This window comes from Homo sapiens, chromosome 10 (genome assembly GCF_000001405.40).
Source record: "Homo sapiens chromosome 10, GRCh38.p14 Primary Assembly".
Taxonomy (NCBI): Eukaryota; Metazoa; Chordata; class Mammalia; order Primates; family Hominidae; genus Homo; species Homo sapiens.
This window is the reverse complement of record NC_000010.11, coordinates 1,421,763-1,447,230: the sequence shown is the minus strand read 5'-3', so window position 1 is coordinate 1,447,230 and position 25,468 is coordinate 1,421,763. Positions and strand designations below refer to the sequence as shown.

At 44.0% G+C, this 25,468-nt stretch overlaps 1 protein-coding gene across 1 annotated transcript in view, besides 2 other annotated features; it reads left to right on the top strand.

Moving 5' to 3' along the window:
- The window catches only part of ADARB2 (adenosine deaminase RNA specific B2 (inactive)), a 560,213-nt gene that overhangs the window by 290,295 nt on the left and 244,450 nt on the right, over positions 1 to 25,468 (top strand). The window lies entirely within an intron of this gene.
- Positions 11,012 to 11,805: an enhancer, noted in NCBI's record as "H3K4me1 hESC enhancer chr10:1477621-1478414 (GRCh37/hg19 assembly coordinates)". NCBI's record gives its function as "activates a minimal SCP1, AML or CMV promoter by ChIP-STARR-seq in primed H9 embryonic stem cells {active_cell/tissue: H9 hESC(primed)}" and the evidence as "EXISTENCE:reporter gene assay evidence [ECO:0000049][PMID:30033119]".
- Positions 11,806 to 12,601: an enhancer, noted in NCBI's record as "H3K4me1 hESC enhancer chr10:1476825-1477620 (GRCh37/hg19 assembly coordinates)". NCBI's record gives its function as "activates a minimal SCP1, AML or CMV promoter by ChIP-STARR-seq in primed H9 embryonic stem cells {active_cell/tissue: H9 hESC(primed)}" and the evidence as "EXISTENCE:reporter gene assay evidence [ECO:0000049][PMID:30033119]".

Genomic DNA, 25,468 nt, shown 5'->3' with positions numbered 1-25,468 from the left:
CCAAGCTTCTGTTATAAAGCGCTGCTAGCTATGCTGCTCTAAGCCATTCCACGCGTTGCTGTAGGTAGTATCCCACTGACCCGTGCATCCGAAGGCTGCTAATTGAATCCTCATCCTTAAGATGCTTTGAGTAAATCTGGCATATAAAGTTATAATTAAATTATTATCCACAGCTTTAATTAACTAAGAAATTTCATTCGTGTTTTACAATTAAGTGATTAAATAATCAATTTTCAAATATTTCCTAAATGAAGTCATGAGCTTCAAGAACCCAAGCGCTATAATTCAATTAAGAAGAATGAAATAAACCCTTGACAATTGCGTAGGTCGAAACCCTCTGAGGCCATCAACCCTCCCGGGGCCTAAGTCAGGCACTTTGGCAGGAGTATCAATAAGTGAGAAATCGTTGAATATGTTCACAAGAAAGCAAAACTTATCAAAGTCCACTCTGAACCAAGCACTATAATAGGCGAACTTGCATACAAGAACGTTTTAACTGTCACGAGAACACTGTAAGAGAGATGAAAAATTATTCCTTTAAAAAGTATGAAAACTGGCACACAGAGTTCAAGTGACTGCCCTGAGGAGCACAGCTATTCACTGACAAACAGGAATGGGAGCCCAGGCTTTCTGCCTCTGTGCCCAGCGTGTCTCCTGCTTCAGCACCGCCTCCCTGCATGCCTTCGCCCCCGCCTAAGCCCTGACCTCAGCACTCATACTTACCCACTGTGCCACTGAAAAGCTCTGCCTCAGTTTGCCCATTTGTTAAGTGGGAAAAATAGTAACAACTGTGTCATAAAGTCATTGTGAAGACTGAATAAACAGGTGCATGTAACATAGCTTGTACATTTGTACAAATGTCCAGAAAGCTGGGGTGCTATTTTTCTTACTATGACGATTTGTGTATTGGGGGTACCATTTGGGTAGTTCACAGAATTCTTTCCCATCTTCACAATAATCATCTGAGGTAGTCGTAGTCATAAAAATAATAATATTTCCATTCCAGAAATGGAGACGCACAGGTTCAGAAAGACTAAATGACTTGCCCAAAGAATTTTGTCCAGAAAGTGGAAGAACAAAAACACAACCTTATTTCAGCCTTCTTGTCCTGGTCCATGACAACGCAAAGCATTAACTTAATGACCTCATGTTTCCTTCACCCCCTCCCTTCCATTCCTCGTCCTACAGTGTTAAAGATAGAACCTTACTCTAGGGAGTAGGAGCTTTACATGGTGAGAGAGAGTTTATGTAGTCTCACTTTGGACTATAATATCGAAAGAAAAGCTACGGATTTTTCACCTGCTTTTCCTTCCCCTAAAATATTGAATGACCCACTATAGAGTTTTGTCATTTACATTGCATAACTATCTTATCCAAATCATCAACCGTATGTCTCACTCTTAACAAACCTCCTTCCATCACACAGGTCAGCTTATTAGCCCATTAGCTCATTCCCTGGCCTCTCCAGTCACCTTTTAACTTTCCTTTTCTTTGACCACTACTGTTCTTATTTGCACCACTGAAAGCGTATTCTCCTACTTAACTGGCAATTTTTAATTTTCTCAACTAAAAAATAAGTTTTTAAGAGCATGGTTCTATATTAAATTTCTGATTTCCTCACAGCATGTGATTTACTAGTGAGTACATGCAACATGTAAATAATGGAAGGACAGATGGATGGATGAGTTTAGATGTATGGACAGAAGGATGAGTGGACAGATGGATGGATGGAAGAATGGGTGGATGGGTGGTGAATGGATGGGTGGGTGGATGGGTGGGTGGATGGATGGATAGATGCGTGGATAGATGGAAGGATGGATGGATGTAGATGGATGATGAATGGGTGGATGAATGGATGGATGGAAGGATAAATTGATGTAGAGGGATGAATAACGAATGGACAGATGAAAGGATGGATGTAGGCGGATGGTGAATGAATAGATGGGTGGGTGGGTGGATGGATGGATGGATGGAAGAATGGATGTAGATGGATGGGTGGTGAATGAATGGATGGGTGTGTGGATGGATGGATGGGTTGGTGGGTGGATGGATGAATGAAAACATGAATGTAGATAGATAGATGGTGAGTGAATGGATGGTAAATGGATGGATGGATGGATGGATGGATAGATGGGTGGGTGGGTGGATGGATGAATGGAGGGAAGGATTAATGTAGATGGATGGATGGTGAATGAGTGAATGGATGGGTGAGTGGATGGACGGATGAATGTAGATGGATGGATTGTGAGTGGATGGATGAGTGGGTGGATGAATGGATGGGTGGGTGGATGGATTGATAGATGGAAGGAGAATGTAGACGGATGGTCAGTGGATGGATGGGTGGGTGGATGGATAGATGGATGGATGTAGATGGATGGTGAATGGATGGATGGGGTGGGTGGGTGGATGGCTGGGTGTATGGAAGAATGAATGAGTGGGTGGATGGATGGAAATGGATGGTGAATGGATGGATAGATGGGTGGATGGATGGATGGATAGATAGATGGATGAGTGGGTGGGTGGATGAATGGATGAATGAGTGAGTGGGTGGATGGATGGATGGATGAATGAGTGAATGGGTGGGTGGATGGATAGACAGATGAATAGATGGATGGGAGAATGGAGGTAGATAGAAAGATGGTGAATAGATAGAGTGGTGGGTGGATGGATGGATGGATGAATGTAGATGGATGGATTGTGAGTGGATGGATGAGTGGGTGGATGAATGGATGTGTGGGTGGATGGATGGTTAGATGGAAGGAGAATGTAGATAGATGGATGATCAATGGATGGATGGGTGGGTGGATGGATAGAGGATGGATAGATGGATGGATGTAGATAGATGGATGGTGAATGGATGGATGGGATGGGTGAGTGGATGGGTGAGTGGATGGCTGGGTGGATGGAAGGATGAATGAGTGGATGGATGGATGGATGGATGGATGGATGTAGATAGATGGAAATAGATGGATGGTGAATGGATGGATAGATGGGTGGGTGGATGGATGGATAGATGGATGGATGAGTGGGTGAGTGGATGGATGGATGAATGAGTAAGTGGGTGGGTGGATGGATGGATGAATGAGTGAGTGGGTGGGTAGATGGATAGATGGATGAATAGATGGATAGAAGAATGGATGTAGATGGATGGTGAATGGATAGAGTGGTGTGTGGGTGCATGGATGGATAGATGGATGGATGGATGGATGGATGGATGGGTGGATGGACAGATGGATGAATGAGTGGGTGGATGGATGGATGGATAGATGGACAGACAGATAGATAGGTGGATGGGTGAATAGCATTTGTGTTAACCTGCAATAGTGGTAGATTTGTACTCCCCCATGCTGAATAAGGAAACATTTCTTTACCTTCCTTTTTTTCTAATACTCTCCAGAAAAAGATAATCTACTGACTTCGAGTCTTCCTTTTATTTAGTTTTTATCATCTCTTGCAATGGCTTTCTCAATATTCTTAGATAACTCTCATTTAATCGATTTTTACTCTTGAACCTTTTATTCTCACTTAAGTCCAAGCTATTAGGAATTAGCTGCGAAATCAGCTAAACTCATACTGATATCTGAAAAAAAGGAGGTTTCTATTAATGTCTTAATAGTCTTAAAACATTAAAATGGTGACTAGAAAGGTGTTGAATTTTTCATTGTCCTCTGGTCCCACACACAGAGGCGATTCCTTCAATAGCTGAAGAACTTGAAAACTGAAGGACATGGTTAAATAAAAATACTAATTCAATTTGCAAGGGGAATCAAAGAAGTTGTTAGGAATGGCAGACCAAAAACTGTATAATATTTAACAAATGGAATATATTATTAACATTAAAGAATTAATTCGCCTGCATAATAAGAAAGGAAACTGAAGACAGTTAGTTTTGAGGGAGCATAAATGGCAAAGAAAGGTCTTCAGCAAGAACCAGATGTAGGTTCCAGGTTTCTCACATTCTCCCACATGAAATGGGGCAAAAGCTCTCCTAAGGAAAAATGAGTCCCAAGCACAGGACAGAAAAATAAGCTTTGAATTTGGGTGTTTTTCCCCCTTGGCCTATGCCTACTTAGAGGAAAAATTTACATCACTTTGTACTTGGTGTCATCCTAGAAGTTTCCGTTGTTTGTTTGTTTGTTTGTTTGTTGTTTTTATTCATTCACTTCTCTCCAGGCCTTCCCAACCCATTGTAGGTGTTATTTCAATTTAGTCTTTTGTGCTGAAGTAGTTTTCATCCCTCTTTGCTCTTGTCCCATCTCATTTACTTTACTGTCTTCTATCAGTTTAAGTACAGTCAACTCGCTTTTCAGACTGGCTCATTGCATTTCCCCATCTTCCTTGTTTTTGTTTTTCCTCTTGTCCATTCAGCTCAGGTGGTCATACCCCTCGAGCATCTCTTGGTCTGTTTATTTTATACTGGGTCAGAATTCTCTGTTTCTCTCCCAAGTTTTCCAAGAAAAAAAATCAAAACGGCAAAGTGTTAAACTGAACTTTTCTATCTTCTGTGCTTTTACCATATACAGTATAACAGGTAGCTTGGTTCTTATTGATCTTTTCATTTAATCTCATAAGAACAGTGTCTCACTCTCAAGAGTACGACTGCTGGTCCTTTCATTTTATAAGAATGTTTATTGTCGGGGTAGCACTTGGGTGAGCCTGGAATAACACTGTCATTATTTGAACTGAGAGAGTAGCTATTAAGTGAAAATGTCTGGTTTTCTATTTTGTGTGTGGATGTTTTTGTTTTTTCAGTTTGGCTTCAAGCACAGCATGGCCATCTCTAGCAGGCCTGTGGTTTGAGCTCCACACTGAAAACATGAAACATTAACATATACTAACACAGAGGAAACTTAAAATTTAGATTAAAATGTGAAGACATGAATTCCACAGGGTGATGCTTAGTGGTGGGGACACAGACAAGACCTAACCAGGGAGAAATTTGACAAAGACATTAGGAAACCACACCTACCAAGGAGGGAAACCTGAGCTGTCTTCTGATCTTCCCCAGAAGGGGTTCTTGGAAAAAGGGAAACTATTTATTGGGACAGGGTAATAAGGAGATAAGCTGTTGCAGAAATTTTGAATAATCCAGATCTTACACAGTTATATTGTTTAAATTTTATTAGCGTAATATACCCCATGGGGTATTTAACTTTATAGTTATGGGCAAGTTAGAGAAAGATCCTATTTCAAGGATGTTTTATCATGCATTGGTTAAAAATCAGACTGAAACTGAATTTTGTTTTGTTTTGTTTCTTCATTGTTAATTGGGACCAGGGTGTTGAATATCCACACATTTACTTGGGAATTGACTTGTAATATAAAATCAAATGAATATTTATTTCCACAGTATAAGGAGAGAATTCAGAATAACAGAATTAGCACAAGTTTCTTAATTTCTCTAAGCTCAATTCCCTCATCTGCGTAAAATACAGAGATGAATATCCTATTATCAATGTCAATTTTGAAAATTAAAGGAGATTCTATACATTATTAAGCATGGGAAGCGTCAACATTTCAACAAATTTTAAAATTTCTTTTGATTTTACAACATTAATAGATTGTCACAGAAAAAAAGACAAATATGTCATGAGAATAAGTAAAAATGATTGATTTACTTCCTGTGTGATTTTGTGTAAGTGAAGAGTAATACCTACTTCATAGGAAGGATTGAATGTGAGTTTAATGACATAATATGTCTAAAGGACTTGGAAAATATCTTTAACTGTTATTATTTATTATTGAGTGTCTTCCAAAACAAATAATCATATGTAAACAATGGGTTTTCTGCATCAAATCTTCTTTCCTCTGAGAAGTTGTCTCTTTATTCTGAAAGATTAACCACACTAACTCTTCTTTCTTTCAGATGTTAGAAAGCTTATGTTAAAAACAGTGCATCTGAAGCAAAAACAATAAAAACAGCAGATAGGAATATTGCTTTTCCAAAAAACAATTTTTTTTAGATAAGTTGCAGGTAAAAGATTTTGCTAGACATATTTTTTCTATTTTTTTCCCAAGGAATCTAGGATATTCTTCTCTAAATGCATAATGAAAGGCAATTCAGGAGGCAGATGTTATTAACTACCCAACAGCAAGTGAAACTAGTCGTCTACTGCACAGATGCAAAAGCTGACATCTGGTCTACCTGACAGTCCTACTTAGGGAAATGATTCAGCTGACACTACCAAGTGAGCTGAGAAACTGGTCCACCAGTGAACCCATAAAGTGTAATCACAAAATATCCTGCAGTGTTGTGAATGAATAGTGCTAGCTATTCATTCCTCTAGGTCTAGCAAAGGCTGGAGTGAGGCTTGAACACATGAATTTTCGTTGTCATGTCTGTGAGCACCTTGGCTAAGGCACAAAAATGGCTGTAAAACTCACCTGAAGTCTGTGCTCATGTTCTCTTGAGGACCCCATTTCATTACTTAAAACAGTTTCATCTCCTGGCATTTCATGCATTTGTTCTGTTGGACTTTGGAAACACATTAGGAACCACTTTACAGTTAACACTTGGCTCATAGCTTATCTTGGACCAGAGTGTTCATAATCTTGTTTAATTTATGTTAGACTTTAGACATTTTTCAGGAAACCGGTACAGACCTGCCCCCAGGACAGGCTACAGATAAATTAGGTTGTGCAAAACTAAGAATTAAAATTGAAAATATTATGTGTAGCTGATGTCATTCATTATCATGACATTGAAATTTTGTCACAATGTGGGGGTATATCGTGGGCTCTGGCTCCAAAAAGCAATCTCTGAGCCAGATGCTACCAGTTTTAAAGATGGTAAGAAAAAAAAAAAAAAGGCGTTTGTAGCAAAGGTGTGGAATATTAAGGACTGGAGATATAATATTAGATTTAATATTAGACACGGTCCACACCATGAGGATCAGATTGACTGTCCCACGGTCACCTAGCTCATCAGTGGCCATGTTCAGTTTGGAATCCAGGCTGTCTCGGAGCCCAGGTGCTGCTCAGCTTGTCAGCACTAATGTGCAGCGGAGACTCAGGAGACCCATAGTGAAGGGCCTGCCTCCATCCTGGGGGAGACTCAGAAGCCCCATAGTGAAGGACCTGCCTCTGTCCTGGGGGAGACTCAGGAGCCCCATCATGAGGAGCCTGCCTCCATCTGCTGAGGAGACTCAGGAGCCCCATAGTGAAGAACCTGCCTCCATCTGCTGAGGAGACTCAGGAGCCCCATCATGAAGGACCTGCCTCAGTCCTGGGGGAGACTCAGGAGCCCCATAGTGAAGAAACTGCTTCTGTCCACCGAGGAGACTCAGGAGCCCCATAGTGAAGGACCTGCCTCCGTCCACTGAGGAGACTCAGGAGCCCCATAGTGAAGGACCTGCCTCCATCCTAGGGGAGACTCAGAAGCCCCACAGTGAAGGACCTGCCTCCATCTGCTGAGGAGACTCAGGAGCCCCATCATGAGGAGACTGCCTCTGTCCTGGGGGACACTCAGGAGCCCCATGATGAAGGACCTGCCTCCATCTGCTGAGGAGACTCAGGAGCCCCATAGTGAAGGACCTGCCTCCATCTGCTGAGGAGACTCAGGAGCCCCATAGTGAAGGACCTGCCTCCATCTGCTGAGGAGACTCAGGAGCCCCATCATGAAGGGCCTGCCTCCATCCTGGGAGAGACTCAGGAGCCCCATAGTGAAGGACCTGCCTCCATCTGCTGAGGAGACTCAGGAGCCCCATCGTGAAGGGCCTGCCTCCATCCTGGGAGAGACTCAGAAGCCCCGTAGTGAAGGACCTGCCTCCATCTGCTGAGGAGACTCAGGAGCCCCATCCTGAGGAGCCTGCCTCTGTCCTGGGGGAGACTCAGGAGCCCCATAGTGAAGGGCCTGCCTCCACCTGCTGAGGAGACTCAGGAGCCCCATCATGAAGGGCCTGCCTCCATCCTGGGAGAGACTCAGAAGCCCCATAGTGAAGGACCTGCCTCCATCTGCTGAGGAGACTCAGGAGCCCCATCATGAAGAGTCTGCCTCCATCCTGGGAGAGACTCAGGAGTCCCATAGTGAAGAACCTGCCTCCATCTGCTGAGGAGACTCAGGAGCCCCATCGTGAAGGGCCTGCCTCCATCCTGGGAGAGACTCAGAAGCCCCGTAGTGAAGGACCTGCCTCCATCTGCTGAGGAGATTCAGGAGCCCCATCATGAAGGGCCTGCCTCCATCCTGGCAGAGACTCAGGAGCCCCATAGTGAAGAACCTGCCTCCATCCTGGGGGAGACTCAGAAGCCCCACAGTGAAGGACCTGCCTCCATCTGCTGAGGAGATTCAGGAGCCCCATCATGAAGGGCCTGCCTCCATCCTGGCAGAGACTCAGGAGCCCCATAGTGAAGAACCTGCCTCCATCCTGGGGGAGACTCAGAAGCCCCACAGTGAAGGACCTGCCTCCATCTGCTGAGGAGACTCAGGAGCCCCATCATGAAGGGCCTGCCTCCATCCTGGGAGAGACTCAGGAGCCCCATAGTGAAGAACCTGCCTCCATCTGCTGAGGAGACTCAGGAGCCCCATCGTGAAGTACCTGCCTCTATCCGGGGGGAGACTCAGGAGCCCCATAGTGAAGGATCTGCCTCTGTTTTGGGGGAGACTCAGGAGCCCCATAGTGAAGGGCCTGCCTCCATCTGCTGAGGAGACTCAGGAGCCCCATCATGAAGGGCCTGCCTCCATCTGCTGAGGAGACTCAGGAGCCCCATCATGAAGGACCTGCCTCTGTCCTGGGGAGACTCAGGAGCCCCATAGTGAAGAACCTGCTTCTGTCCACCGAGGAGACTCAGGAGCCCCATAGTGAAGGGCCTGCCTCCATCTGCTGAGGAGACTCAGGAGCCCCATGATGAAGGACCTCCTTCCATCTGCTGAGGAGACTCAGGAGCCCCATCATGAAGGGCCTGCCTCCATCTGCTAAGGAGACTCAGGAGCCCCATGATGAAGGACCTGCCTCTGTCTTGGGGGAGACTCAGGAGCCCCATAGTGAAGAACCTGCTTCCGTCCACTGAGGAGACTCAGGAGCCCTGTCGTGAAGGGCCTGCCTCCATCCTGGGAGAGACTCAGGAGCCCCATAGTGAAGGACCTGCTCTGTCCACTGAGGGGAAGGAAGGTGCGTCTCACTCCCAAGGCCAGAGCTAGTGTTCTTCAGGGCCTTTGTCTGCCCACCCTGCTTCAGCCACTCTGCCCAAAGGAGAGGAGGGAGTGAGAGGTGGCAGGAAGGGAAGGGGACGAAGCGGTTCTCATGAGTAAACGGGGTCATGCCAGCTGGCATAATGTTCCTAAGAAGTGAGACCCCAGGTGGGGAGCCTCGCGTTGAAGATTAAAGATAGCAGATCTGCTCAGCTTAACTGGAGTTATTCTGCTCCTGTTTATTCCATCTGCCCTACACGTCCCATATCCTCTGCCCATTTTAAGTTTTACTGTTTCCTGCACATTCCGTGTCACTTTTCACCTCCAAAGAAGCTTCGCTCCAGCCTGAAATGCTGGCTTCCTTCCCCACAGGACCCGCTATCGCTGTCCAAACCCCACTCCTGCCCAGGACGCTCTTCCAAGGCCAGGATCCTCATCAGGGCTCAGATGCACTTGGATCCCTCCCTTCTTCCCATATTTCTTGCCTTAATAATTTCCCAATCGGCTCAGGTGAGTCACTCAACTCTCTTAGGGCAGGAGATGCCTTTTAGATCAGCGCACAGCCAGGCACACAACTGCTGTGCAAATAAGAGACCTGACTCGGGCTCCTAATAAACCCGTGGCTGCGTGTCTGCTGTAAGCGTCCTGGCTGGAGTCGCTTCTTAGTCTTTGTACCATAAGCATGTGTGTCCTGTGACTCTATGGATATGTACTATAAATATGTATGAATTGCAACTATACATAGAAACGACATAATAAGCTACAACTAACTTTACGTTCATCCACATATATACACACACACACATATGGAAAGTTAGCTATATATATATATGTGCATGTGTGTGTGTGTGTATATATATGTGTGTGTGTGTATATATATATATGTATACCAAATTATTTTTGGAAGACAAATTCATATAAAATGTTTTTTCCCATTTACGTCTTTTACAAAGTAATTTCTAAAATTTATTTTAGTGAAGTTTGTACATTTTTTTACAAAAGAACTGAAGAAAACCTTTGCCCTGTTAAAAATGCTTTTTAAATTTCTAAGAGTTCCTTAATGCAACTAACAGCATACATTAGACAGGCTCCTTCAGGTGAACAGAATGTGTTGATTCTTGCAATTGTATTTATCAAAACATGTAACTACTATACTTTTCTGATTTTTTTATCCAAATAGCATGAAAACAGATGTGGTGAGATTAATAGAAAATGCCAAACAGTAAGCAATATAAGAATTCCTGCATAATGTCTTTGAGAAGAATATTCTCCTTGAAAGAGGATATAGTCAATAATAAATCAAGATGCTTCAGGGTTACAAGGAGCAGCTGAATTTTCATCACAGAAAATAAGACTTTTTTATTTAAATGAAATCACTCGTTTAAAGCAAAAATGTAAAACTTGAAATGGCAGTTAAGGTAGCTTCTCCCCGAGGGAAATTGAGATGTATCTGTGTGCATTAACATCTTTTAATGTTCTCTTTCCTAAAAGCTTTGAGAGGTGGGAAATCTTAGAAAACAAAAAATTAAGTGTTCATAATATAAATGCCTTTTTATTATTATAAAGATGGTTACAATACTACAAAGTATCGTATGAAGAATAACCCAGTTCCAATGGTAACATTATTATTTTGGAATATCAGAGTAGCTGCTGGATGAGAAGCCAGGCATAATTACCTTTCAAACTGCAGACATTATCGGCTTTTGCTCACGAGAAGTAAGTGTGATCGTTAAAAATCAGTGAAGACTTTCTTTAAAACAAAAAGAGACCTAGGCTAATTACAAAAAGAATTTTTAAAAAGTAGCTGCTAGGGTAGTATAGGTTTCCCTTGTGATGATTCTCCATATTGTAAAATTCTGGAAAATTAACAGATCAATCCAAGTGGCTTCTGAAGAGCTGCTCTATTTGAATAGAGGTGTTCATTGTACACCCACACACAAGCATGCACACACGCACATGCAAACACATATCACGTACACACACACACAGCCTCGCAAGAGCCACTTCCATTACAAAATGAAGTTATATTACAAAAGGTGATGACGGGGGCTCGAGCCTCAAACATCCTCCCGACTTCTCTGGTTCGTACATAATTTCATTCAACTCAGCTAACGTTTGTTTAGTTAAGAAGACAAACATTGTCAAGAACAGAAAGGTGGTGCTGTCACAAGCAACACGCTCTAGCAAAGCAATTTTATCATAAAGGTTACCCATCCCTTTCTATAAAATCATTTTCCCTTCGAAACGTTTTTACTCATTTTGCTGAATGTCGTATTATGAGTGACATGTGGACTAAAACCTTCCCGGAGGCCACATCCTTCCAGCCTCACGTTGCCTGCTGGGGTGGCCAGCAGGGAGGCAGGTGGCAGCCAGGGACAAGACAGGACCCGAGCTGGACGCAGGCAGGCCTGAGTTTAAATTCTCCCGTGCAGGTTTTGGAACGATGCTGTGAACCCTGAAGTCTCGCCCAGGAAGTGGAAGGAGAGAGAGGGGCCTGGCAGGGCGGCCACAGTTTGGATGAGAGGACACTGCAGGATGGTGCAGAGGCAGGCTCAGTCCAGGGCTGTGAAGGCTCCGCCCTCAGACAGAAGGAACACAGGCCCCCTCGTTAATGGTCCTTGCGCAGAAGGAGGCTCAGCCCGGGGCAGCAAAGGCTCTGCCCTCAAGCGGAAGGAACACAGGCCCCCTGAGTTAATGGTCCTGTCTTTTACCACAGCAGAGATTAGAACATCTTTAACAAGCTTTCTCCACCAGGAGTAACACTGAGGGGAGGAAAGCTTCACACCCTCCCTTGAGTTCATTTTATGCAAAAGCATCGGCTTGGAAGCAGGCCTGAGCCCCGCTCTTGTCTCACCAACACCTGTCTGAGCTCCTGCCGTTCATCTGCTCCCAGCCCCCCAGCCAGCACCACCTTCCCCGTAACCTGGGCATCCACAGCCCGGGGACACCTCTCATTGGAGGCACAGCCGGCCTCGGGCCAGGGTGGGTTCTGTGCCCTCCCTCGTGCTCCACGGCCTCCCAGGGGACCCAGGTCCGTGCTGTGCTTCAATTTTTTGAGGATCTGAATCTTCCCCCAACGAAGCTGTGAGCCCAAGTGCCCTTGTTCCCGGACCAAACTGAGGGTTGGGCTGCTATTTCTCTCTGCCCAATAACGAGATGCAGATGAACTGAGGAGGAAGGAGTTTTTATTTCTGTAACTGGTTACAGGGAGAAGGAGCAGAAACTATCGCCAGACCAACTCAGAATGACAAAGTTTTCCAGAGCTTCTGTACCTTCTAAGCTCTATGTCTACGTGTAAGTGTTCATTCCCCTAAAGACATAAGTGATGAACTTCTTCTAGTCTATAACTAAGGTCGAGTCCTGAAGACCTTCCTCTGGAGCCTCAGTGAGTTTACGTCATCTAAATGGTCCAGGTGCCGGGGTGATTACCCTTATCTTGTCTGCTGCTAAATCATGGAGGTTTGGGGGGTTTCTTCAGACCCCCAGTAAAACTTGTTTAATTCTAAATGGGTCCTGTTAAGAATGCCTTCGTTGTTTTGTCATGCTTCAAGGCCCAGGAAAGGCCCGGGCAAAACTCTTGGTGGGCTTTTGTCCTATTCCAGCCGTTGTATAAGGGCACTGGCTTCTGATGTTCAACTTCACCACCCAGTCAATACTGAAACAGTTGCTACGGAGGCCTGCGTTAGTGAGACCTGGCCTGCCACACCCACACATCTGAGGCCCCAGCGGGAGCTGAAACCTGACACAAAGACAGCAGGCCTTGGAGAGTGAGGGCCAGACACCTCCATTTAAAACGCAGAAAGCGGTGAGAGGCAAAACATTTTCAAATTACAGTTAATGTGGAATTTCTCATACCGGCCTCTGTGTACATCACCTCTTCGTGTTATTTTAAATCTCTCGTTATCAGCCTTCTCGGAATCTAATAGCTTCACCTGAATCTTCGTGTTATTTTAAATCTCTCGTTATCAGCCTTCTCGGAATCTAATAGCTTCACCTGAAACTCAAACCCTTTTTTAACGTATACTTGAAAATATAGTTGTTTTCTTTCTGATTACAAAAAAATCAGCACCTAAATATTAAAATAGCCTCCGTGTTCTATAGTATGTGTTCAATATGCACCAACTTGTCAAATGATACCATAATTGCACATTCAGTTACATTTACAGTCAACAGCATAATGGTAATGCCACCATATAGGGTCCACCGAGGTGTATCTTAGCGGAAACTTTGATTCATTTTAGACCTATATTTATAAAATTATTACATTTCTGAAGGAATCATTTAAATTTTTTAGACATTCTATACACATAAATGGAACTTCTTGCTACTGATCCTTTAAATTATCTCCGCGCTGCATTTCCAACTTCCTGTATTGTTCTCCCCACAATTTCCTGTCAGTGGGGCAGGGCAGCAGTCCTCATCCCAACTCAGGGTTGGTGGGAGGTGGGCCTGGGAGAGACACTCAGGCTCAGGGTTGGACAAAGTGGATCGAATCCCTGCTCCACCCCTCAGTCATCTATGGATGTGATCTTGGCCAAACAACAACCTCAACACCGACAACCTCACCACCTGAACGTCCGCATCTGGGAAGCCGGACTGATTCCTTTTGTAAGGAGGTGATGAGGGTTGCAGGAGACTTCGACCCAGCAGCTTATCCACACGTTTTAATCCACTTCCCTGGTGACAATACTCTCTGCCTTTTCCTATTCTTCCCTGAGATCACTTTAAAATCAGTCACAGAGCAAACCATACGTCCTCCCTGCAGGCTTGTGGGGCAGTGAGAATGACATTGGCCAGTGCAGCACTTCCATGCATGCAAGATGTCCTGGGCACACACGAGAGACCCCAGCCCTCATTTCACACCAGCTGCCACAATTCGGAGAATGCTGTGGTCCTGGCTATCCCACCGTGTTCTTTCTCAAGCTTCGCCTTTCCTTGCATGACTCCTCTTCCTACTCTCTTCACTTCATTTTCTCTTTGATTATGATAATTCCATTCCCAAAGCTTACATCGGAGTTGACATGGCTTGAATTCTTTCCAGACCAGGATTTTTTTAGAAAATGGGAGATTTTTTTGGCTTGTTAGTTTTTTCTTTTTAAGGATGTATATCAGCCAGGTTCATCTTCACCTGGGATCTCCTTTAAAACTGAGGATCCATTGAACCACGTATTCATTGTTCAGGAGATATTTAGGAAGAGGCTATGGCTGTGCGAGATTCTGGCTTCCAGCTGAGCAGAACCACCCTTGCCCTTGGGGGATGCCTGGGCCTTCCCTGCCCAAGGTGACCATCTCCCCAAGGACAATAATCAATAACAATGCAAAGCAAAAGAGAAAGTGGAGCCCTGGGGACCTTTGCATTGATTCTTTGAATAAGCTTTGAATAAGCATATTCATATTAAGCATACTCATATAAGTATATTGAATGGCAATCTGTACCACAGCCAGACAGCAAGGTTATGTTCCCAGACAAAGGAAATAAGTCATAATTGCAACCTCCATTAAAGAGATTTGGAACTTTTCGACTTGGGACTTTTCACTTAGATAAGTGAACGTGCATCCTAGATTAAAATACCCTCATGAAAAAATATTTCTAGCAAAAGTAAAAAGGTAAAGGTCACAGTCACGGGCTGAGACTTCATGAAATGGAAGACAAACTCTATTGTGTAAAACTTCAGAGAATTAGGGGCGTGAGCTTCCTTCATACCTATATTTACTTTTTCCTCTAGCCAGCCAGCCCTTGACTGACCTCATGAGCTAATATTTGTCAATGATGAAGACATTGCCAAGCCAAACAAATTCCATCTTGATATTCTAGGGCAATTTCTCAATATATCACAAGTTAAATAAGACACCCTGAGAGCTATGTTTCTATCATTCAAAGATATCATTCATTCATTCATTCATTCAGTTACTATCTCTGCATTTTCCATGAGGTGTCAGGCTTTATGCTGGAGACATAAAATAAGTAACATAGTCATGGAATTTATAGGATTCTGGGAGAGTGGCTTAATAAGATAATCATATTAATATATTATAATGAACTGTGATGCATGGCATGAAGGAAAAGAACAGGAACTAAAGCAGAAGTGGGTGCCTGACCTAATCTGAAGTGTGGCGGGGAGCTGAACCTGAATATTTCTTTCCTGGGAGATTTTAAATTATGAGTTCACTTAATGGTTATAAGACTATTCAGGTTAGCTATTCCATCTTGGTTGAGTTTTTGCAGTTTATGGTTTTCTACAAGCCATTTCTTCTAAGTATGGAATTTGTGAACTTAAAATTGTTCATAGTTTTCCCTTATTCTTTTAAAAACTACACGTTCTGTAGTAATAGCACCTATTTCATTCCTAATACCAGAGATTTGTATTTCTCTCTTTGTGTATCTTTCTCAGTCTTGCAAGACATTTTTTAGTTTTATAGATTTTTTGGAAGAACTAGTTTCATTTCACTGATTTTCTATTTTCTTGTTTTCAATTTGATTGATTTCTTCTCTCATCTTTATTCTTTAATTCTGCTTGCTTTGGGTTTATTTTTCTTGTTTTTTATAGTTTTATAAAATAGAAACTTGCACCATTGATTTGAGACCTTTCTTCATTTCTAATGTAAGCAGTCTAGATCAATTATAAATATGTATAAGTGCTAAATGTGCTATGAATTTCCCTCTCAGTACTGCTTTAGCTGCGTCTTAACACTGTGGCTTTTGTATTTTCATTTTCATTTGGTTCAATGCATTTGTATTACCTTTGAGATTTTTTCTCTGATACATGGGTTATTTAGAAGTGTGTTGTTTAATTTCCAAATGTTTGAAGACTTTTCTGTTGTCTTTCTATTATTGATTTCTGGTTTAATTCCTTTATGGTCAAGGAACACACTATATGATTTTTATTATTTTAAATTTGTTGAGATTTGTTTAGTAGCTCAGTATATGGTATATATTGATGAGTGTTTCAGAAGAAATTGAAAAATATGTGTATTCTATGTTGCTGATGGCAATTCTGTGACATATCCTGTGACAATATTCTAAAATGTCAATTAGATCCTGTTAGTTGATGGTGTTGTTCAAGTCTTCTATATCCTTGCTGACTTTTAGTCTAGGAGTTCTATCAATTACTGACAGTAGGGTGTTGACAGACCCCAAGGTAACTATTGATTTGCCTACTTCTCATTTCAGGTCTGTCACTTTTTGCTTTATATATTTTGATGTTTTGTTGTTTGGAACATGCACTAAATTTAGGATAGTTATGTCTTCCCAGTGGATTGATCCTTTTATCATTATATAATTTCCCTCTTGGCCTTCAGTGATTTTCTTGGCTATGAGTCTACTTTATATAATTTCATATAGACACTCCTGATTTTTTTTTTTTGAGACGGAGTCTCACTCTGTCACCCAGGTTGGAGTGCAGAGGCATGATCTCAGCTCACTGCAACCTCCGCCTCCCAGATTCAAGTGATTCTCCTGCCTCAGCCTCCCAAGTAGCTGCTATTACAGATGCATGCCGCCACACCTGGCTACTGATTTTTTAATTACTACTTATACAGTATATCTTTTCCCATCCTTTTAATTTCAATCCATATATGTCATTGTAATTTAAGTGAGTTTTACATAGACAGCATATTGTTGAATCATGTTTTTGTGGGTTTTTTAAAAATCCACTCAGCCAATCTCTGTCTTTAATTAGTGTTATAAGCCATTTACAATTAGCATAATTATTGACATATCAAGGCTTAAATCTTCCATTTTATTATTTGTTTTGTTTGTTCCTCTGCCTCTCATTCTGCTTATTTCCTTTTTGCATTACTGTGGCTTACTTGAATATTCTTAAGGATTCTACCTTGATTTATTCACAATTTTTTAGTATTTGCCTTTTACAGTTTTCTTATCAGTTGCTCTTTGTATCTCAGTATGCAACTACACTGCACCATGGTCTACTGACATCAGTGCCTTGCCACTTCGAGTAAAGCATAGAAAGTTCACTTTCACTTAGTTCTCTTACACTCCATACTTTCTAAATCCAATTGTCGTAAGTATCCTCTATATATAGAGAGCGCCACATGAGGAAAAGGATACTTAGCACGATTTTTACTCATTTCAATGTTGTTCTTTCCATTTTGAAGCCCTAAGCCTTCTTCTGTTATTATTTCATTTCTGTTTAGAGAAATTCCCTTAGCTGTTATTTAAGAGTGGTTTTGCTAGCAACAAGGAAAGGAGATGAGGGGAGGAGAGAGGAGTAAGACAGGGGAGGAAAAAGGAGAGAGGAGGGAAAGAGAAGAGGAAAAGCAAAAATAGCAGTTATAGAAAAAAGCAGTTAGATAAGGAAGAGAAAGATTGTATCTAATCTTTAGCAGGATTCCTAAAATCAGGTATTCAAAGTGACTGTCTTAATAAGTATGGTGCAGACCAGCCCAGCAGGATTCATATCTAATGCATCTTCATTTAAGCAAACATATCAGCAGAATATAGAAGCTGAATGATGCTTCTTGCAAGGCCTAGAGCTCACAGAGACTGCTTCTCATGGAAAGACAGGCTTCATGTGTGTACCAGAGAGAGCAATAACCTTTGTCCTGCATTCACGTCTGCAGCATCCATGTGGGTTGGGCCCAAATCTATAGGCTAATATTTTACCATATTCTCTTTACGGAGTCTTCTTATTGAGAATGAGAATTTCCATCTGCATACTAAAGGTTTCAGTTTATGTTGTTTGCAGGCTGTTAGGTACACTTTTGAGTGATGAGCGTTTTATCCTACGGAAGGCAAGTTAATGTAATTTCATCAGCTAAAACAGCACCAGGAGCACCACTGCAGTTCATGATCATGATTTAAGATTTTGATTATGAGATTTGTGCAAACATAAAACTCATATAACCCTGTAAGCATTTAACAATTTTTAATTAGACTTTTAAGTTTATGGACGCACATGCCATTGTAAGAGGCATTACAGAAGTGCCCACATACCTCATACCCGGCTTCCCTCCATGATAACAACTAGCAAAACTAGAGCACACCATCACAACCAGAATATAGACACTGGTGCCCTCCACCCACCTTATTCAGACCAGAATATAGACACTGGTGCCCCCACCCACCTGATTCAGACCAGAATATAGACACTGGTGCCCTCCACCCACCTGATTCAGACCAGAATATAGACACTGGTGCCCTCCACCCACCTTATTCAGATTTCCTGTTTGACTTGTTTCCTTGTCCGTGTGTGTGTGTGTGTCCGTGTGTGTGTGTGTGTCCGTGTGTGTATGTGTGTGTGGGATTGCGTGTGTGTGTGTGTAAGTGCATGTGTTTAAATCTGTGTAATTTTATCACAGGTGGAGGCTTGTACGTCCACCATCACTGTGAAGAACACAGAACATCCGGTCACCACAAGGTCCCCATGTTGTCCCTTTCATAAGCACACCCCCCTCCCTCCCATCCCCAGCCCCCAATCTCTAACCCATGACAACCACTAATCTGTTCTCCATTTCCATAGTTTAGTCATTTCAAAAATGTCATATAAAAGGAATAAAAGGCTGGGCGTGGTGGTTCATGCCTGTAATCCCAGCACTTTAGGAGGCAGAGGCGGGCGGATCACGAGGTCAGGAGATCGAGACCATCCTGGCTAACATGGTGAAACTCCATCTCTACTAAAAATACAAAAAAATTAGCTGGGCGTGGTGATGGGTGCCTGTAGTCCCAGCTACTCTGGAGGCTGAGGCAAGAGAATGGCGTGAACCTGGGAGGCGGAGCTTGCAGTGAGCCGAGATAGCACCACTGCACTCCAGCCTGGGTGACAAAACAAGACTCTGTCAAAAAAAAAAAAAATAGGCATAAAAACATTTTGGAGGCAGGTGTGGTGGCTCACTCCTATAATCCCAGCACTTTGGGAGGCTGAGGCAGGTAGATTTCTTGAGGTTAGGAGTTCGAGACCAGCCTGGCCAATATGGTGAAACCTCATATCTACTAAAAATACAAAAAAATTAGTCGGGTGTGGTGGTGCATGCCTGTAATCCTAGCTACTCTGGAGGCTGAGGCACAAGAATCACTTGAACCTGGGAGGCAGAGGTTGCAGTGAGCCGAGATCAAGATTGCATCACTGCACTCCAGCCTGGGTGACAGAATGAGACTCTGTCTCAAAAAAAAAAAAAAAATGGGACTGGCTTTTTTCATTCAGCATGATTCCCAGGAGATTTATCTAAGTTGTGTATACAGATAGTTCATTTCCTCTTATTGTTGAGCAGTGTGTATGACCATGGTGTGTTTAACCATTCACCACTGATGAACACCTGGTCTGGACTAATTCCAGTGTGGAGCTATTATAAATAAAGCTGCTATAAACATCCATGTACAGTTTTTTATGCAAACATAAATTTCCATTCCTCCAGGATTAATGCCCAAAAATGTGACCTCTGGGTCATGTGGTAGTTGCATGTTTAGTTTTATAAGAAACTGCCAAACTGTTTTCCAGAGTGGCTGTAACATTTTACTTTCCCACCAGCAACGTATGAATGATCCAGTTTCCCTACATCTTCACCAGCATTTGGTGTGGTCACCACTTTTCAATCAAGCCATTCTGCCAGGTATATGGTAACATCTCACTGTAGTTTTAATTTGCATCTCCTTAATGGCTAATGACATTGAACATCTTTTCATATGCCTATTTGCCAACTGTATATCATCTTCAGTGAAACATCTTTTCTTGTCTTTTGCCCGTTTCTAATGGTATTGCCGACTTTGTTACTAAGTTTTGAGAGTTCTTTATATTTTTTTAGACATAAGTCCTTTGCCAGACATGTGGTTTGCAAATACTTTATCTTAATCTTGAGCTTCTCATACCCTCTTAACAGAGTCTTCTGCAGAACAGAACAGCTTTTAATTCTGATGAGGTCTGATGTCTGCATTTTCTCTTTTATGAATTGTACTCAGCATCACATCTGAGAACTCCCACACCATGTTCTAAAAAGGTGACCTGTCCTCCACTGAATTCCTTTTCCACCCTTATCAGAAATCAGCTGGGACTCCATGTGAGTCTACTTATGGAGGATCTAAATTTTATAACTCAATCTCAGGGATAAGTTAAAAAATCAGGCCCCTGGAGCCCAGCGGAGTACACACGTGCCTGCAGTGGTCTGCCCAAGCGTGGGGCCGACACATAGCTCTGTGGCCTCTTCCCGATGGGCAGGGTTTGGGGACAGGGGTCCTCCGGCTCTTTCACAACTGCTTTAGGTTCCTGTCCCCACTGTGTTTTGTCCAACACAAAGCTGCCTTCTTAGGAGTCTGCCCCTTGTCTGAAGGGAGAAGCAGGGTATAGAAGGGATGCAGTGGTGGAGTAAGCGCCGTCAGGAGTCAACCAGGGGCAAAGTGTCTGCACACAGCCTTGCCGCCTCTCCTGGGCCAGCCCCTGGGCTCTCTTGCCCAGGGTGGCAAGCAGGTTCACTGGTCTCCGAGTCTCAGAAGCTCAGCTCCATCCATTCACGCTCCTCACCTTATCAAATGGAAGAACCTCCACCTGGCAGCAGACTCAGAGCTGGAGGCTTTTCCTTCCAAGGCCACAACAGGGGAGAGAGGCAGAACTGAGGCCTCACAGGTGTAGGGATGAGACAGGACCATCCTTCTGTCATAACTGCACCTGAAGAATGATGTGTGTGCATGCTGACTGTGTTCTCCAAATCGCCACGCAGAAGAGGGCTTCGGTTTTACAGCAACAATGACAAGGGAACATGAAATTTAAAGAGAAAAAGAAAGGATTTAAAAAGGCCAGTGCCCAGGAATAAGGCAGTTCTCTCCTTGTTCTGTTTATACACAGTGACGACAACAGAACTGTACATTTCAGAGGACCACGCAGGCCGACCTAATGAGGCTGGCACTGCAGAGCTCATCTGTGTGCTGCATTGCTTGGCCTCACCTCTCACCAGGGAGCCCAAAATACCTCCATATTTTAAACCACAGGCTCTTTTACACATCAGATCTTGATTCCCCTTCTCTATATGAGTTTTGTTGTGTCATTATAGATCAAGCATAAAACATAAACACAACCTTCTGACAAATGCCACATGCTCAGAATGACTGCTTGAGTCGAGGAAGGAAACTCTAACCTCCTGAAAGAACCTGTTTCCGCATTTTTGAGTAACATGCCTCTGTGAGATTAGCCCTCACCCGCTCAGCTCCACGTCGGGTCATTCTCTGTCCTCCACTTTTGCTCATCCTCCTCTGACCACTGAGTTGCAGTTGGAAGGCTGTGGCTTTCGTGAGGAGTCAATGTTTGCTAATCTATTCCAGCATGCATGCTTCCTGCCCATGATGTCTTCATGGCAATTAAAATAGATCCAGCTCAATCTCCATCATGCAGTTCAGGCTACAAACTAACCTGCTGACAAGGAAGAGAAGTCAGAGAAAGGCAAGGACTGAAGGGTTACTGAGCCAGGAGCACAGCTGGTTTTTATGGGTTGGCAACTTGAGAGGCTGTAGATGGAAGGTTCTGCTTAGATCCAACCATCTTCTACAAGATCTAAGCGGAGTGAGCGAGCCCAGGCTCCCACACCGCGGTGCTCCACAGAGACCTGCCCAGTGACAGAGGACTGGGAGTATGCAAGCAAATCCCTGGAATCCTGGACAGCAACACATTCAGTATAAAAGATTAGATACTTCAGGTATTGCTTGAAGGATACAAACTTGAATTGATTCAATCAAAGCAACATTTGTTGAGCATCTATTGTGTTCTAGGACAAAGCATAGTCTCTATGCTCCGGGAAGATTAAAATGGATTCAGGGAAACAAAAACCCAAATAAATGAATGCCATTCAGCGTAAAGTATCCTGAGAAACAGGTGGTATATAGGGCAGGAGAACCATGACCAGATCACAGCATTTGATCAGGAAATCAAATGCAGTAGCACAATGAAATCTCAATTCTTGTTCCTGAAACCGTAGTCCAATTACAGGATAATGCTTGTTACCTTTGACCAGAAAGACTTAAAATACCATGGAGCAAAACAGAGGCTCCAGGCTCATTGAATTCTGACCACCCCCTTCTCTTGCTTTTCCAGCTGTAACAAGGCTTCCACGCACGCACCCCAGGACGTGCGTTAGAAGAGACTCACTCTTCTGTTACGGTGATTAGCTTTTTTTCATGCAGCTGATAAATGCTTTTGGAGACCTTAGGTTGAAATTTCATCTTTACAAAAAAATCACAATTGATGTTACTTAGAACAGCTGGTGGTTTCCACCACTTACTCCCCAGTGGCCACAGTTCCAATTTGTGGCTAGCCTTGTCTTCAAACATCTCGGGGCAACCAAAATGCGACAGGATGACAGATCGTCCTCTCAATGGACACTGACAAACAAATTAGTGCAAAGATGCTTTCCGCAGCAGAGCAGATGTGTTGAGTTCCATCACATGGAACAAGCAATGAGAAGCTGTCCATGCCCCATCTGTGCCTTTTACTTTTTATTTATCTCTCTCTTTTTTTTTTGCAAACTCCTGATGCACCATCATGACACACAAAGCACCAAGCTTCCGTGGGCACTAAATGACCACTTTAGGGGCATTGTCCTAAACTTTCTTAGGACATAATCCAGGAAATCAGACCACTCAGCAATAGAACTGTCCGGTGGTAAACGGAAGTCATTTGTAAATATCCGCGAGAATCCACACTTTGCCACGAGTCATTAAACACGAGGAAGAGGCCTCAGAGCATGCCATCTCGCGTGGTTTTTGGAGCCACGGCTCTGACATGGTTCTCACAGGGGTGTTCAGCCTTTCTTCTTGCTCTCACACAGGCCCACAGAGCATCCATTAGGCCAGGAGGTAGTTAGGTGTGTAGCCCTAAACGCTTCTTACTCCCAGAGCCACAGGAAAAACATTCATATCCTCTTATCCTTCCTCAGATCAATCAGCAAAGTCTTTGCAGACCTACTACATACATAATGGACCTACTGCATACATAGTGGACCTACTGCATACATAGTGGTCCCACTGTATACGTAGTAGACCCACTGCATATGTGTTGGACCTTCTGCATACACAGTGGACCTACTGCATACATAGTGGTCCCACTGCATACATAGTAGACCTACTGCATATGTGTTGGACCTACTGCATACATAGTAGACCTACTGCATACATAATGGTCATACTGCATACATAGTGGTCCTACTGCATACATAGTGGATCTACTGCATACATGGTGGACCTACTGCATACACAGTGATCTTACTGCATACATAGTGGACCTACTGCATACATAGTGGTCTTACTGCATACATAGTGGTCCTGCTGCATACGTAGTGGATTTACTGTATACATAGTGATCTTACTGCATGCATAGTGGACCTACTGCATACACAGTGGTCTTACTGCATACATAGTGGACCTACTGCATACACAGTGATCTTACTGCATACATAGTGGACCTACTGCATACACAGTGGTCTTACTGCATACATAGTGGACCTACTGCATACACAGTGATCTTACTGCATACATAGTGGACCTACTGCATACACAGTGATCTTACTGCATACATAGTGGACCTACTGCATACACAGTGGCATGGAACTCACTAGGCCCTAGGAAGGTAGCAAAGACAACTAGGCCTAGGAAGAGTAGTCCCTGCCTCCCCTAGAACCTTTGAGTCCCCCTAGCACCATGAACACGCAGCAGCCACACTGCCAGGACCAAGCAGTGCTGGGCAAGGTGGCTGCAGGCTCAAGGCCGGGTGCTCAGGAGCCAGGAGGCCGGAGGGGTTTCTAGGAGGCTTGCAGAATCCCTCAGTGAGAACAGGGGAGTTGAGCTGAGTTTTAAGGAATAAACAGGACTCAGATTAGAGGGGAAAAGAAGGACAGTGATTTCAGGAAGGGAGGGGGCCAAGGGTGTAAGCAATGGCGTGAAGCTGGGACAAGGGCCCGGGCCAGGACTCCAGCTTAGCGAGGGCTGGGAAGGCGGTGGCAAAGGTGGGAGCTGAGCTGGAACCCAATGGCCATGGCCACCTGTGGAGACTCGGGGACTCGGAGCAGAGAGACTGCTGGCCAAGGGTCCCCTTCAGTGATGTAAGCTCCAGGAGAAATGCACAAGGCAAATACCTCTCTGAGTCTCCATAAAATGGGAACACAGGCTCACAGAACATCTAGCTGCAGGGCTCTCGGCCATAAGAACCAGACAGGTGGGTGCCACTGCTCCCAGGATCCAAGCCATTGTTTCTAGGGAGACTCGGTGGGCTCCATCTGCAAAATGGAGTGGAGAGTGATGGGGTAGACCCCAGGCGGAGTTTGCGTGTGGCCATAGGAGGTACGCTAATGCCCTTCATACCTGGGTGCCGCAGGCCGAAAGCCCAGTGGATCCTTACAGTCTGCACAGTGTATACAGCCTATGCTTGGTGACACATTGACAGATGGGTGGTCATTGTTACAGCAATTTATCAGAATTCACTGGTCAGCCTTACCCAAATAACTGAGGCACTGTGTCAATTTTGCACAGATGTGTAGGTATCCATGGTTTCCAGAGTAGATGGCTCCCAGGTAAGGGACATGTGACCTGCAGGCTGGGGTCACCAAGGCCATTGTGACCTACGGGCTCCTCTCCCTGCCCCAAGACCAGTGCCGTCAGCTCAGCCACAGGGCACTGCCTCTCACTGTGCCTTCCCCTCTGGTGGAGTGTCCAGGTGGGTTGAGGTCCACCTGTGCCCTCACCTGCAGCCCCGGTCTCCAAAGCGTGAGCCGCTGGTCTGGCCTGAAAGTGTTGACAGTGCCTCCCTCTCACTCCCGAGTCCTTATTCCACCCTCGGACAGCTGTCTCTGTAAATAAATTTACCGAATCAGAGCACTGAAAACTCCTGACCTTATATTAAGTCTTCCAGGATTTATCAGAAAAGCATAAAGCTGTGAAATATCCTATGTGGCCTCATGGATTCCATATATTTTGAATCTTTCCTTTGATGTACCTTGACGTCCCCGTTCTATTCCTCTTGCCAACCTTGGCTTAAAAACTCGTGGAAGTTAAGAGCCAAGTCTGTTGCCAGGGATATGTCCATGGCTTTGATGGGGGATGTTGCCCATTGTTGGGCCTTTTGGTGGGGGCTTCCCTAACTCACAGCAGCTTTCAGATGCAGGCACCTCAAGCCTGCCACTCTGCCACTAGAGTAGGTACCTGGGGCTGCTTCTCCTCTGTATTCTCTTCAAATAACCTGAGATGGAAATAGCACATGCAATGGGTACATAGCTCTTCCTCAGCAGACCCATCAAGGAACAAATACAATCATCCAAAATGTGCTTCCTTCTCCCTGTTTCAGTCTAGGAGCTCTCCGAGTGTTCTAACTGGATTTAGATTAGACCACCTCCCTGTCAACATGTTCCCTGCCC